Source organism: Homo sapiens, chromosome 10 (assembly GCF_000001405.40).
Source record: "Homo sapiens chromosome 10, GRCh38.p14 Primary Assembly".
NCBI lineage: Eukaryota > Metazoa > Chordata > Mammalia > Primates > Hominidae > Homo > Homo sapiens.
This window is the reverse complement of record NC_000010.11, coordinates 123,443,473-123,458,452: the sequence shown is the minus strand read 5'-3', so window position 1 is coordinate 123,458,452 and position 14,980 is coordinate 123,443,473. Positions and strand designations below refer to the sequence as shown.

The window sequence follows — 14,980 nt, the reverse complement described above, 5'->3', positions numbered from 1 at the left end:
GAGAGAGGAGGGAAAGAAGGAAGGAAGGGAGGAGAGATGGGGAGGAAGGGAAAGAGGGAGAGAGAAAAGGAATGAGGAAAAGATCCAGAGCCATTTTGTTCAGAGACAAGCTCACTGCTTGACACACAGTAGGTCCTCAAGAAATATTTTTTAGAGAAGAAATAGATGAAGTCAATGGCTATGACCTAAACCTGCGATAAAATTCCTTTTCGGTATGGCATAAACCACTAGGTCATTGGTGAACTGGTATTATTCCATGAGCACAAATGATTGCTCATGAAAGCCATGCAGGTGATAAAGGAACTTGAGAAGCAAAAGCTGCCGGCCTTGGGTTTGGAAGCAGCTGTGTCCTTAATTACGCAGCTTGATTTATACTCTATTAAATCTGTATATAAGTAACCCATTTCTCTGAAAGCATTTAAACCTCTTATACTCCACCAAACACAGTGCTTTTATTTGAAATAAATGTATCCAGCTCTTTGGGGAACATATGGTATATTTCTCTCTTATTAATAATTCAGTTCAAATGAGCAAAAATTAGTTGGTGCAGTTACGGCTGATTTTGTCCTGAAAAGATCTGCATTAATTTTAGACGTTTTGTAAATTGGGCTATTAAATAAAAGCATTATATGTGAATTACCCTTTAAATTTTAAGCAACTTGGTAGTTTAATGGTATTTTCTAGTCAGATTCATTTTCAATCTCTAAAAAATTATAGTCATTATGGTAAGACAAATTTTTAAAAGCTGTGCCTTCTATCCAATTACATATTGTACTAATAAGTAAACTAGCAAACTTTCATGTTCTCCTTTCAGTGTTGTCCTGCTTGGCCACATCTTTTGATGGCATCTGTCTTCTGAGATGTTCCCTGGAGGGAGGTTGGTCCTAACTGAGCAGCTCCAATAAAGAAGCGGACTCCAAGGGAGCTGAGTTCATCTGGGAGGGGATTTGTCATGGCGCCCTGCAGCATGTCTTTTGGAGGATCCACCCTCTGCTGATGGAGAGTCTCCTCACTAAGACTCTGGAGCTCTGGGACTGCAGAGGAAGCCGGCAAGGCCCCGACCAGGCAGCCCTGCTAGGAAGTCCGAGGGAATTCCTAAATGGCCAGGGAGATGGTAGTTCTAGGGAGATGAGCACACAGCTTATCAGCTCCACGGTCCAGCCTGGCAGAGACCCCCAAAGCCAGGCCCACTGGTGGTCCCTCCCCAGCTTGCCCCAGAGAGGCAGGGCAGGTTCCCAGGGATCGTCTTCCCTGAGCTTTTGTGTGGTTCTGTCCCATTAGGGGAGCCTGGTAAAATGAGCAGGGCTCTGGGGTCTGGTTCTAGGACTGGCCAGCTTTGAGGCTGGCTGACTGTGTGGTTTTGTGGCAAGTTGCCTAATGGCTCTGAGACTTAGTTTCCACATCTGCAAAGTGGGAACTCTAGTGGGCCAGGGAAGCCCCTGGCACACTCCTGGCACGTGACAGGGAGCTGCCGGTCACCTTCCTTTCTCCACCTCCCAACTTGGCATTTAGCAGTATCCTGGCATTGGGTTTTTTTCCAATCCAGCTGATGGTTCAGGCACAATACTTGCCTTTAGTGGACATGACATTGGGCCGCCTGACCATGTTCCCAAAGCAAATGGATCATGGGCAGCTTGCCCTGGCCCCAGGAAAGCGCATACAAACTCTCACCACCTGCACCTCAGGACAGCAACTCCAAGACTGGAATACCTTTTCACCCCTTCTCCCAGCCCCCAATTCCTTCCTTCCTTCCTCAGGCTGTGTGTTTTTCCACGTGGCTGGCTGGACATTCTGAAACAGGCAGTAATGCTGCCACCTTTATGGACAGCCAGAAAGAATAGGGAGTCCCTGTGGGGGTCACACCCAAGCATCCAGCCCAGCCTTTCTGCCTTACTCAGGCTGCCTGGCATGGAACTTTCTGGAAGGGTTGGAAAGTGGAATAAGCAGAGGGATTGAAATGGGGCAAACATCAGTCCTTACGATATGCCGGCAACTGTAGGTTCTCCATTTTTTGGGGTACATCTACTCTTGCCAAGCAATGCAAGTCGCTGCCTGGGGCCAGGACAATAAAAGAGATAGCTTCAGAACCAGAGGAAATCCCAAAGGCCAAGGAGGGCCACACAGGGAGGATTCCCATTAGACAGATGGGGAAAGTGAGGCTCTGGGAGGGAAAGGGACCCCCCCACCAAGGTGACACAGGGGAGTCTGGGAACCACTCCAGGGTGACGGTTGATGCAACAAGTCATAGAGCCCTCTTAGGTTCTGGTTTTCTAAGAAGGGCCTGGTCACATGACAGCCTCTGGTAGCAGCGGAGAGTAGTGGTTGGGAACGTGGCTTCTTGTGTTAGACATCCTGGGGTCAAGCCTGGGCCCTGCTGCTTGCCAGTATGTGACCTTGGCTGGTGACTCAATCTCTCTTCTCCCCATGTTTAAGATGAGAGGAATGCTACTGACCTCATAGATCAAATAAGTTAATATACAACATGCTCAGGAACTCAAAACCTAAGCCAAAGTTTTTCAGAAAAATAAAAAAGTAGTGCAAGCCACCAGGTGGTGTCCACATGCCCCACTCCTAAAGTGCTGCCTCTGAAGGATCGCTTCTGAGGATGCGCTCCCGCCCGGGCCTGCTCTGCATCACTCAACCGGACTTTAGGCCACTCTCTGGCTGCCCATGATCAGCCATGGCCAGGGAACCCAATGTGATGTCCACTAAAGGAGAGCTGCCCATGGTACCCAAGACAGCCTCATCATTGGGAATTCCTGGCTGGAAACACCATTCTGGTGGGGTCAACGGAGGAAGTGCATGTCCAAGCAGAAAATAGTAAATCCAGCTCATTTCCTGAGCTTCATGCGTTAACACTTTCAGGGCACATTTCCATGCACCTTCCCATTTCCTCTCCCCATCAGCCTGGGGTGTTACTCCTCCCAGCACTTATTATTTCCAGTGAATGCGGGAGGTTGAGCTACTTTCCTAAAGTCTTATGGTAAGTAAATGAATTAAGATTCGAATGCAGACTCCAGAGCCCATTGTAGATAATGACACTGTACTGTGTAAATCCCCAAATACCTCCATGATTGTCTTCCTCAAAACAGAGAAAGAGGGCTGCAATGGTTCATTTTATGTGCCAACATAGCTGGTCCGTGGTGCCCAGATACATGGTCAAACACTATTCTGGATGTTAGTGTGAGGGTGTTTAGGATGAGATGAACATTTAAACTGGTGGACTTTGAGTAAAGCAGATGCCCTCGATAATGTGGGTGAGCCCCGTCCAATCAGTTGAAGGCCTGAATAGAACAAAAAACAACATCTTCTGAGCAAGGCGGAATTCTACAGTGGATTTGATTGTCTTTGGACTTGAACTGCAACATCAGTTTCCCCTGGGTCTTCAGCCTGCTGGTATACCCTGCAGATTTTTAACTTGCTAGCCTCCATAATTGTGTGAGCCACTTCCTTAAAATAAATCTCATCCTACACAGACACACGCACAAACACACACACAAGCACACGCACACCCTATTGGTTCTATTTCTCTGGAATATCCTGACTAATACAAGGGCTTAACAAAAATGACACCTACTTATACTTAAAACTTTAGCATTTGGACACTGAGAATGTAGAATTGGTTCTAGCCATTCTTCCATTCAATTGTCAAATCTGAGCCAGGCTCCATGGGGGAGGTACAAATGCAGGCCCTGGTGTTACCCTCAGAGAGCCTCCAGGCTGGGAGCCAGATGGTGCCAGTGTGAGGGGAACGCAATACAAGTATGGGTTAAATGCAGCCCTCGATGCTGCTTGGCCATGTGACCTTGGACTTGACCCTTCTGGGCTTTAGTTCCTCTATATATCAAGTGGAGGTAGTAGTTTCTAACATATAGCATTGGTTATGAGGATCAAGTGAGAAAATGCATGCCAACCACTTAATACAGCACCTAGCTCGTCATCAGCACTTGATAATTGGTAGTTGTTACCAGTATTATCATCAAGAAACAATAAGCTGAACAAATAGACTACAGGATTGCTCCTGAAGTTCCAGAGCCAAAACTCCTCATGGGGATGGCCATACTAGGAGAAGTTAAAAAGATTAAGCATTTGGTCTAAAACAGGGTCATGTAAGAGGATACTCATGTACTAAGATGACTGCCCAAGAGCAGGTGAATAAGTGTCTCTGTGTACTCACTGGTGATACAGGAACAAGAGGGCACTTAATGAAATTAAAAGAAAAAAATCTGAAAAGCACAAAAGGAAATACTTATGTACATGTTGTGTCATTAGCCTGTAGAACTCTGAACCACAGGTTATTAGGTGAATGGCTTAAGGGAATTAGGTGCATTGAGAGTGACAGCACAGTTGGGTTCTGTCACCCCTGCTGGCATCAAGTGGTCCTGGTGATTTACAGAAGAGCTACCCAAATGCTTAACCATGAGCAGCTCTGTGTATAGGGATGGTCTGCCAGAAACTGAAGCAACAGCACCATCTATCACTATTGATCAGAGGAGGACACTCAGGTGGTGGCATGCCAGTGGCCTGGCATCACAATAAAAAGGATTCTCAGTACTTAGGGTTGAAGGCAGAAATTAGCCAGGAACTAGGCTGCTCATTCCCCCAGGTGCAGCATGAATGAGGTATCATGGATATTTCTGTAATATAACTGATGGTGATGGTGATGATAAGATATGAATAATATGGCAATGACAATTAGATCACCATCCTGTCCTCTGAACTCAGGGTAGAGGGAGAAAGATGAGCAAACAAACTAGAGTCCAACATCCTAGGTGCTGTGACAAGGCAGTCCAACAAAAGAGAAGATTAGGTCTTTCATGGGTGGGAGGAGAGCTGGGCAGAAAAGGTTTCAAGGATGAACTCACGCTTGAGCTGAAACTTGCGAGATGACTTGGGTCTGTGTTCCAAATATGGTGCATAGTCTGGGACAGTCCTTCCAGACACAGCAAGTAACATGAACAAAGCAAGGAGGTGAGAATGTGCTTAGCTTATCCAGTGAACACCCAGGGAATGAGGATTTTTGGAGCCGGAAAGCAAAAGACACTGAGGGTACGATGAACACTGAGCCCAGAAGTGGGTAGGAGCAAGACTGATGTACCATGTGCCGACAATGTACCATGTATCTCGATGAATTTCAGTTACATGGACTTCCTTGATGCTTCTATTGAAAAGCAGCAGGGAATCTATTCTCTGAGTTCATGCCATGGTCTCTGAGATTCCTTCAGCTGGATGAAAGCATAACACATCAACAAGACCTTCAGCAGATAATTCTCCCAACACATGTTAAATAGTTATGTGTAGAGAGGTTAGGGAAAGAGGCCACTAGAAGATGGGGGAGGAGAAAGGTGACTGATCTCCATCCAGCTGTCTTTGTCCATCACACCTAATGTGGTTAAGACTAATGCTGCCTAAATCTACAATCAGGAAAACAATCATCAAAGACGTACACCATGTCTCAATGAGTCTTCATATTTAAGTGAAAATGTCTTTCTTGAAATTGAAAGCATGTTTGCTACCCTTTGTTCTTGATATAAATGCAGTATTAGTGAGCTGCTCATATATTTGTAAAACCAAAATCCTTTCCCATTTACTAGTGATCATATTCCAGGCCATGGTGATTGAAGGCAAAATGGGAATGCTGTTCATAATCTATGGATCATGCAGAGATCAGCCTATGCTTGGTCAGTGGCAGTTCCATATGTGAAATACACAAATAATTAACTGTGAGACTGGGGAAATCAATAAATCTATTCCTTATACCATTGTGTTGGATATAGCTTGTTATTGGGATGAGTAATCTTAGCTGCTTAAATAACAAACCCTCAAATCTCAATGGTTTAACCCAATAGGAGTGTCTTTCTAATTCAGGTAAAGCTTCACAGACTTCTCAGAGACAGAAGGAAGAGTCCTCTGAGTTCTTCCATTTATTAGGCGGGTGGTGAGACAGCAAGGATCATGCATAGGAGGTTTTTATGGGCCAGGCCTAGAAGGGATACATGATCACATTCTTTTGGTCAAAACTTGGTCAGAAATCTCCAACAAAGGAGCCAGGAAGGCTGGAAAACATAGGTCAGCAGTGTGTTCAAAAATAAGACGAGAGCACAGTTGTGGGCGACATAAGCAGTCTTTGCTCCATAGCTTAATATACACAAAAATCAAACTTTAAAAATATTATAAAATAGCCATAAATGTTTTGTAAAAGCTTTTTCCTTTTATTCTTAATCCAAATCAAAATTATTCCTTTCCCTTTCCCAAATGAGATTCACTTCCTTCATTCCCCAAAGTTGTACTACCACGACCCATGTGCTATAAATCAATACGTTCTGATATAAAACCTTACACAGAGGAAATGCTCATGTTGGGTGAGAGCTAGTGCTGGCAGGTGGGGCCGGCTTATTTCCAACACATCCTACTCCTCACTCACACTCTGTAACCACATCCTAGAAATCAACACAACTTGCCCCAAATCTTTATGTGATTGTTTAAACCATAGAGAATCCATCAACTTTCAGAATCTGACGGCTTTACTGTAATCAAAATAGCTGTCAGCCAAAGAAATCTATTCTGCTTAGAAGTAGCCAGAGCCATTGCTTGGCCAGGTCAGGAGTGTTCACGTGCACAGTGGACCAAGGCTATGGCTCAGCCCAGCGGCCGCCCCCTTGCTGTGCAAACAGATGATGCAGGCAACCATCGCTCTGACCCGGCCACTTCTCACACAGCCAGAGTGACCTCATAATTTCTCCATCCTGGCTTCTTAGGGTCTACCGAGATGAAGACACATCACCATGGGCTATCCACGTGACAGCCGCGAGACGGAGGGCAAAGCCTGCATGATTATGGCTAATCATTGTCTGCCTGTCCCTGGGTAGTTAAGACTTATCAATGAATTGCACCAAATGTGGTGTAAAATCCCAGCTAATTAACTGTGAATCGAGAATAACTTATCCCAGGCCCATTTCGTTCATATTGGAGAGCAAAGATCACTGGTGAACAACTCAACCTGCAGTGTGCCACCACCAAATTTGGTAAGGAAGTGTCAGTATTGTCTCAGACACTGTCGATGCAAAAGAAACCACAATTCACATCCTGCAAAAGGCGAGCCCCAGACCGACAGGGCAGGGGAGAATTTATTTTTTTCCCTTTTCTCCTTAGCCGAAGTTATTATCACAACTGCCGGGGAATTTGTGAGATTGGGAGATAAGGATCGTAATGATTCTTTGGAGACCCGTCAATCACTGCAAACTGCTACCAGAATCGAAATTACATCTGCATTTGAATTAGCAACATTACTCGCCAATTTAGATCAGAGTGAACATTTTTCCATTGAAGATGGAATTAAATTAGAAAATGAGTGAGTCTTTAATTTCCAGATTATAAATCACTGAAAATAATTCAACTCCTGTACCTTAAGGCCAATTACATTATCCTAAGCGACATTTTATCTCCTAGCCTTCCGAGTGATTTGGTGACGGGAGCCTTCACACAAATCAGTCTTGCTCTAGTAGCAAGAAATATATCTGCCCACCGAGTCACACACATAAAACACCAGGAACCATTTTAATGCTGAAGCTTATTTTACATGAAATTTGATTGTCTGTTTGATAGTGTATTTTTGTGTTCTAATGAACTGATGCATTCGCCAGATATGAGGTCTGAATTATGTTGGGTTCAGCAATGAAATTTTAAAATGATTGACTTGTTCCAGGTTGGGGCATCTTCGTCCCTTCTGTCACCTTCTCCCCGTTTGGCCTTACAAAAGGCAAAAATAATGTGGATGTTTTTAAGCCTGAACATTCTCTCATCTCTCTATGCCCACACCACTATGTGTGTCCTGCTTCTGCCACCTTTGACTCAGGTTATTTTCTGATATCTGCATGTCTGTCTCTCTAGACTGTGAGCTCCTCAGAGGACAAGTCATGATTGACTCATGGGTGTATCTGTCCAGTCAAGAGACTGGCAAAGAGTAGGTGCCCAGTAAATATTCACTGCATAAATGGCTGAATGATGACACCTGACCCTTTCCACCTGGCCCCATTACAATCAAATGGCAGCAGTGGGGATTAAACAGATAACCAGGCGGTCCATACATCTCACCACCACCTTCACCAGTAGCACCGCTGAGGCCAACTAGAAAGCCAGGGAGGGGCTCCTCTGTCACTAGCAAGGTCTGATTTTCTTGGGTTAACTGGCCTAAAGATTAAGGAGTCACCCCATCAATTGGTAACCCTTGCCCATCACCAATGAAAGGTAGACTTGACCTAGAAGATGTCTGAGTCCCTGATGCAGGGACGGAGTAGGGGAGGGGAAGGAAAAGGAAATGCAAGAAATTTGGACACAGGGTAGGTGTCTTACATGTTTTACAGGGCAGAGCTTTTAACAAAAGGCCCATTTACAGGCAGGAAAGGGTGCAGAAGAAGACATCATTTTTTTCTCGAGGTGCTGTCTGCTGACTGAGCGGGTGTCACTGACTCAACCTGGGGAGATGCATGGGGCCTTTGCTGGCTCTGGCCTGTGATGTGAGCTGAGCAAGTTGCTGAAGCTCTGTGGGTGTCCTTCCCCAGCTTCTAAAGTGAGAGACTGAGCCCCCTAGTCTAGCCCCCATTAATCAAGCCCTGGGACTACACAAATGACCCCTCAGGGCCCCACATCACCACCACCAAGATGGCAGGAGGTTCTCATTCAGCCCTCCCTGGCTCCGTGTGGCCCAAGCAGGTGCCCCCACTGGGCCTCAGCCTGCCTGTCCACAAAATGGGGACTCGAGTGTAGACTTCAATATCTGAGAATGGAGTTTGAGGAAGGATTAATTAAACAAGAACCTAGAAGGCCCTGAGTGAGAGAGGGCTGTTCCACCCCCAGGCAACGAAGAGAACAAAGCCCCTTCTCCCTCTCTCAGGTTGTCTGGGACCCAAGTGACACTGGGACAATGAACAAGCTGCTTACCTTATCAGAGAGGGGGAGCCCCACTGTGTAGCCAGCCCACCTCGGCCTGGCCTGCCATGTGGACAGGAGGTGCCACAGCCTCCCAGCCGCTGGGCTGAGCTTCCACTCCTGGATGTTTCTGCCTGGATCTCCTAGCAGCACGGAGCTCCTCTGGCCTCACCTAGGGGATGCCCACAAGATGGACCAGGTGAGGAGGGCAGGGCAGGGGACTAACCCAGAGCGCCTCCCATAAAACACACACACACATCCACCTCTGAACCCCAGCAGCTCTGTTTGTTTAATCTCTATCTGCTGGAGTTCTTTTTTTCTTTTTTCTTTTTTTGAGAAGGAGTCTCACTCTATCACCCAGGCTGGAGTGCAGTGGTGGGATCCTGGCTCACTGCAACCTCCACCTCCTGGGTTCAAGCTGTTCTCCTGCCTCAGCCTCCCGAGTAGCTGGGATTATAGGCATGCACCGCCATGCCCAACAGATTTTTTGTCTGTTTAGTAGAGACAGGGTTTTACCATGTTGGCCAGGCTGGTCTCCAACTCCTGAGCTCAGGTGATCCGCCCACTTTGGCCTTCCAAAGTGCTGGGATTACAGGCATGAGCTACCACACCTGGCCGTCTATCTGCTGGGGCTCTTTGTGAGCTCTCTTTTGGAGAATGGTTCTGTTACTCAAATAAAACATCTTTTAAATTTGTAATGAGGCCAGGTGTGGTGGCTCATGCCTGTAATCTCAGCACTTTGGGAGGCCGAGGTGGATGGATCACCTGAGGTCAGGAGTTCGAGACCAGCCTGGCCAACATGGTGAAACCCTGTCTCTACTAGAAAAAAAAAAAAAAAATTAGCTGGGCATGGTAGCATGCGCCTGTAGTCCCAGCTACTCAAGAGGCTGAGGCGGGAGAGTCACTTGAACTCGGGAGGCAAAGGTTGCAGTGAGCCGGGATTGTGCCACTGCACTCCAGCCTGGGCAACAGAGTGAGACTCTGTCTCAAAAATAAATAGATAGGCTGGGCGCAGTGGCTCACGCCTGTAATCCCAGCACTTTGGGAGGCCAAGACAGGCAGATCACCTGAGGTCGGGAGTTTGAGATCAGCCTGGCTAACATAGTGAAAGCCCATCTCTACTAAGTATACAAAATTAGCTGGGTGTGGTGGTGCGTGCCTGTAATCCCAGCTACTTGGGAGGCTGAGGCAGAAGCATCGCTTGAACCCAGGAAGCAGAGGTTGCAGTGAGCCAGGATCACGCCACTGCACTCCAGCCTGGGCAACAGAGTAAGACTCCATCTCCAAAACAAAATTAATTAATTAATTAATTAATTTGCAATGAACTGAGTCCAACCTGCTCTGTACACATAGACAATTGTAGCCCTAATGGGTAGGTGGGACCAGCCCAAGGAAATCCTGCAAGCTCGTGACAGAGGTTGGACCAGAAGCCACGACCCAGGCCCCCTCCCCAGACTCATCCAAAAATGACACAGCAACCACCACCACTGCCTGCACGGATCATTGCCATGTACGACCCGGACAAGATCACTATACACCGTCTACATGAATAGATTCACAACAGCCCAGAAAGGCAGGAGCTATCCCTTCATTCCCAATTCTGTGGATGGAAAAGCTGAGGCTCAGAACGTTAGGCCACTGCTGTAAGGTCTCCCAGCTAGTGAGCACTGGAGCTGGGATTTGAACCCAGCAGTCAAGCTTCTGAGCCTACATCCGTAACTGCCAACTTACACTGACAGTGTCTCTCTCTGCAGAGCTGGCAGGCCTGGCCCTCCTCCCTCCTCCTTGTTGGGGCTTTCTCAGTTTCCATGAAGAGTGGGAGGCTGAGGCCCTAAGCCCTTCTGGGTTTGGAGCCCAGAGTTCCTTTGGCAAGACTGTAGGGTTGTCAGATTTAGTAAGTGAAATTATCGGGGACACACTTTATACTAAAAGATCGTATTTGTTGTTTAACTGAAATTCAAATGTGGCTGGGTATGCTGTGTCTTACCTGGTAGGCTTACGGGGGTGGCATGTGCTTGGGGAGCTGTGAGGTCGGGGCGGCTCGCCTGTCCCTGCCTCCTGGGGCCCACAGCCATTCCCACATCCAGGCCCTTGTCCCATGCCCTAGGCTCCTTCACAGCATGGCAGCCAACTATGCCCTAGGTGGAGGCTCTGCCCGTAGGGCTATCTTGCCACCAATACCCTCCAGGGTCATTTGAGATTAAGGAAGGACTGAGGGGCAAGTGGAGGCATTTAAACAATTTGGCTCAGAGGGAAGCAGATGCCACTGACTCTCCCTGGCTACAGTGGCACTCAGGGCCTTGCCCTGGCTACCTCCACTGCTGCAGGAGATGCCTGGCCTGTGACCACTGTGTTCACACGGGAGGGACAGCAGAGCACCAAGCCTAGCATCACTGGACATTGCTGACCTGTCCCTCTTTGGCCACCACAGCACCTTGAACAGCACCTGGGACGTTGCTGACACATGAGTGTTTGTGGGATAGCTAAAGAGTCTAGGGAAGGTATGGAAATGCCAAGCACCTCCTCCTCCCCAAGCCCAAGGCAGACATTGCTAATCGACCACTGCATGCTTTCCCACAGAGTCCAGATGCAGCCTGGGCATCCTTCTTAACATGGATCAAGGCTACCACCAAGGAAGGATATTAAAGAAATGGAAGTCATCCGTGGTTGAAACTCAGCTGCAGCTGAGGGACTGGGTTGGATCAGGGAGGGGGACAGGGAGAAGACAGAGGGCAACAGGTTGTAAAGGAGGAAAGGCACAGACCCTCAAGTCAGAAGACCTGGCTCCCAGCCTGCTGCGCTCAGCACCTCTGAGACCTCGAGCAAGCGCACTCCCTGCTAAGGATAGCTCTGTCCTTGGTGAACAGGCACAGCGCTGTTCCCCATGCAGAGTCCTGTGGAGGATGTATCCTGAGAGGCGCTGGGCACAGTGCCTGCTTCCCAGCAATCCTCATTCCACCTCCTCCTCTGCGAAGCTCTCTCTGCCTGCGTCTGCAGGCCCAGGGCAGCTAGAAAGAAGCATGGGCACAGGGAGACCCAAAGGCTTCCATCCTTGTTGGTATTTTAGATCAGAGAATTTTCTAGACAGAGCCCAGGATCCCAGACCTGTACTCTCAAAGGCTCAGCATGGAATGGCATTCATGAAGGGCTCAGTGTGCTAAATTCTAAAGCAAGCAATAGAGCAATAAAGGAAGGAATTGAACCACGCGAAGATTCACAACACAACCCGGGGTTCCGCAAGTCCCGATCCCATCACTGACCACTCTGCACCCATCTGCTGTTCGATCCTGAGACGTGTGACCACAGCAGTCAGATCTCCTAGTGACTGAAGTCTAAGCAATGGATTCATTAAGGGAAATACTAGCAGGGGATGTTTGCTTAGGACTTTACAATGACAACCTGTAATTGTAGACACACACACACACACACACACACACACACACACACACACACACACGTGTCTATTTATTATTGTTAGTTAATTCTCACAACAACTGAGTGAAAGCTGGGCAGGATTTCTTCTCAGGCCTACTTTAAAGTAAGAATACTGAGTCTAAGACACTGTCCAAGGCAGAGCCAAAGACGCGCTGAAGCAGGCGGGAGACCGCGGCACAAACCTTTCACTGCACCAGCTGCTAGCTCCACATCCTGTGTGAACTAGCAGTGGTACCTCTCCTAGCCCTGGAAGGCATTCTGGGGTGGTGCTCTCAGGAGCCAGGAATCCTTGACTGTAAGACACAGGAAGGGCCTCTCCATTCCTCCTAGGGACACAAAGGACCTGGGTCTTCTTGGTGCACATTCTCCAATAGAGCCTAGGCGCCCGCTCTAGGCTGAGCTGGGGCAGAGGCAGCCATGTATGGTACTGGGTGAGAGCAGTGCATGTGAGGGTGAGGTGTTCTCGCCCCCATCCCCAACATGCACACACATGCACACACACGCCCACACATGCACAGCCTCAGCCTTTGCTCTGGTCTGAGGTCAGTCAGCTCACGGCTCACCCTGGTCCTGGGAACCACATCCCTTCTTCCTGGCCCCTTCCTGTAACCTGATGAGAACCTCCCACTCTCCATTTCCCACTCCTCAACCTCATTGTCACAGCAAGCATTGAGAAGCTGGGCCGCCTTGTTCAAGCGCATCTGTCTTGTTAGGTGATCTTGAAACACTGGGAGGGATTTCTGGTCCCTTTAAGACCCCAGATTGTTCATGGAGGAAGCATCGTCCAGAGCAGTGGGGCTTTGGGGCTTTGCTTTTTTATATGAGAAGCTGGTGAGGGCTGTGAACAACCTCCCCATCCCCAGAAAAATAGCTACGTGCGTACACACGTCAATCTGCACACAATTTCAAGGGAACATCTCTATGATATTGGGGGTTTTGACACACTCTCTGCCCTGAGAAGGACAAATTTTATTTAGGGAGACAAGATTCACCCATGTTAACCAAAAGCACACAGGACAGTGAGCAGCTATGGCCTGGATCGCCCCTGCCATCCTGTGAAGTGAGGTTGGGGAAGGGAAAGCTGAGCAGTGGCGGGTTCAGGAGGCAGAGGTTGGGGTCTGTGCTTGAGGGATGGAGAAAGTGAGCAGGCAAAAAGGAGAGGGTGTGGGGAGGTCCTGAGCCTGTTTCGTTGTCTGTAAAATGGGCCACAGTCCACTGAGGACTAATAATATTTACCTCAAAGGACTGTGGGTAACAACAAATGTGGGGACACAGAAATGCTTAGCCCCCTTGTGCTGGCACACGGTCACCCCGCTCACCCTCTTCAGGCCCAGCGGTGCCTGGCAGGCACACTCAGGAAGTGCCTGTCTCTCTCTCTTTTTCCTCTCTCTGACCTCTCTCCCTATTTTCTCTTTCTTTCTCTTTCTCTTTTTCTCTTTCTCTCTCTCCCTCCACCCCGCCCCCCATCTCCCTCTCCATCTCTCTGAGCCTCCCCCTCTCCTGGTCTCTGTCTCCTTCTGTCTCTTTGAGCCTCCCTCTCTCTTGGTCTCTCTGTCCCTTTCTGTATCTCTCCCTCCCTGTCTCCGTCTATCTCTCTGAGCCTCCCCACTCTGTCTCTCTTCTCGCTGACCCCAGGCCCTCCTCAAGACTCTGTATTACACTGGCAGCAACGTTAGTGACCTCCAACCAAGCAAGACTTTTCCAGAATGCCCCCATGAGCCCTGTTTCTCCGTGACCTGGTAGCCATCTCTGGCCCCAGGGCAGGAATCTGCCACATCTTCATCATTCAAAGTGTCAGTGCTGGACTGACCATGACCTACCACTAGGCCCTGCTTGGGCCTCCACACTGCCCACCACCCACAACCCCCCACTACACTCCTGGCATCCCTGCAAACTTCTCCAGTCTCTAGGGCATGCTGAGCCCTTTGAGGGACAGACCCATGTTTGCTCACCCTCCCTGTGGGCATCCCAGCAGGAATCCCCCTTCTCACAGCAGGGTCCAGCCTGTCTCAGGGCTGCAGAAGAAGGGAGGTACTTCCAGAGAGCCCACCCCAAGAAGAGTGTGGCAGGAGCTGTGCAGGAAACAGAATAGGGAATGCTATTTCCCTTGAAATTCTGTAAAACAATGGCAACCAAAGATGCTGTGCCTTGGACCCTGGTGGCAAAGCCTACATCAGTGGGGAGGAGAAAGAGCTCTACCTGCCCAGGTGCTCACAGAACAGCCCTGCTGGCCACAGCCCAGGAGCCTGATACTGTTCCCAGCACTTAGCCTGCTGCATATGAGATTGAATCCTCACACTGCTTCATGCAGTCATACCCACTTATAGATGAGAACAGCAAGACTCAGAAAAACTGTGTGATTTGCTCAAGGTCACTTAGTAAGGAAGTGACAGGGCCAGCATTCACACCTAGCACAGGCTGCCTGCAGTGCCCTTTTTTTTTTTTTTTTTGAGACGGAGTCTTGTACTGTCTCCCGGGCTGGAGTGCAGTGGCGCGATCTTGGCTCACTGCAACCTCCGCCTCCTGGGTTCAAGCTATTCTCCTGCCTCAGCCTCCTGAGTAGCTGGGATTACAGGCGTCTGCTACCACACCCAGCTAATTTGTGTATTTTTAGTAG

At 48.6% G+C, this 14,980-nt stretch overlaps 1 long non-coding RNA gene across 5 annotated transcripts in view, besides 2 other annotated features; it reads right to left on the bottom strand.

The window, feature by feature from the left end:
* Positions 1–14,980, bottom strand: part of LINC02641 (long intergenic non-protein coding RNA 2641) — a 214,291-nt gene that overhangs the window by 103,761 nt on the left and 95,550 nt on the right. For 4 of the 5 annotated variants that reach the window (XR_007062326.1, XR_002957104.1, XR_002957105.1 and 1 more), the window contains one exon: positions 8,941–9,100. The exons of the other annotated variant lie outside the window; for it this stretch is intronic. This is a non-coding gene — a long non-coding RNA (long intergenic non-protein coding RNA 2641). The remainder of the gene's footprint in view (positions 1–8,940; positions 9,101–14,980) is intronic. 5 annotated transcript variants of the gene reach the window in all.
* Positions 11,051–11,551: an enhancer, noted in NCBI's record as "H3K4me1 hESC enhancer chr10:125206418-125206918 (GRCh37/hg19 assembly coordinates)". NCBI's record gives its function as "activates a minimal SCP1, AML or CMV promoter by ChIP-STARR-seq in naive H9 embryonic stem cells {active_cell/tissue: H9 hESC(naive)}" and the evidence as "EXISTENCE:reporter gene assay evidence [ECO:0000049][PMID:30033119]".
* Positions 12,682–12,741: an enhancer, noted in NCBI's record as "active region_4159". NCBI's record gives its function as "activates an Ori minimal core promoter by ATAC-STARR-seq in GM12878 lymphoblastoid cells {active_cell/tissue: GM12878}" and the evidence as "EXISTENCE:reporter gene assay evidence [ECO:0000049][PMID:35858748]".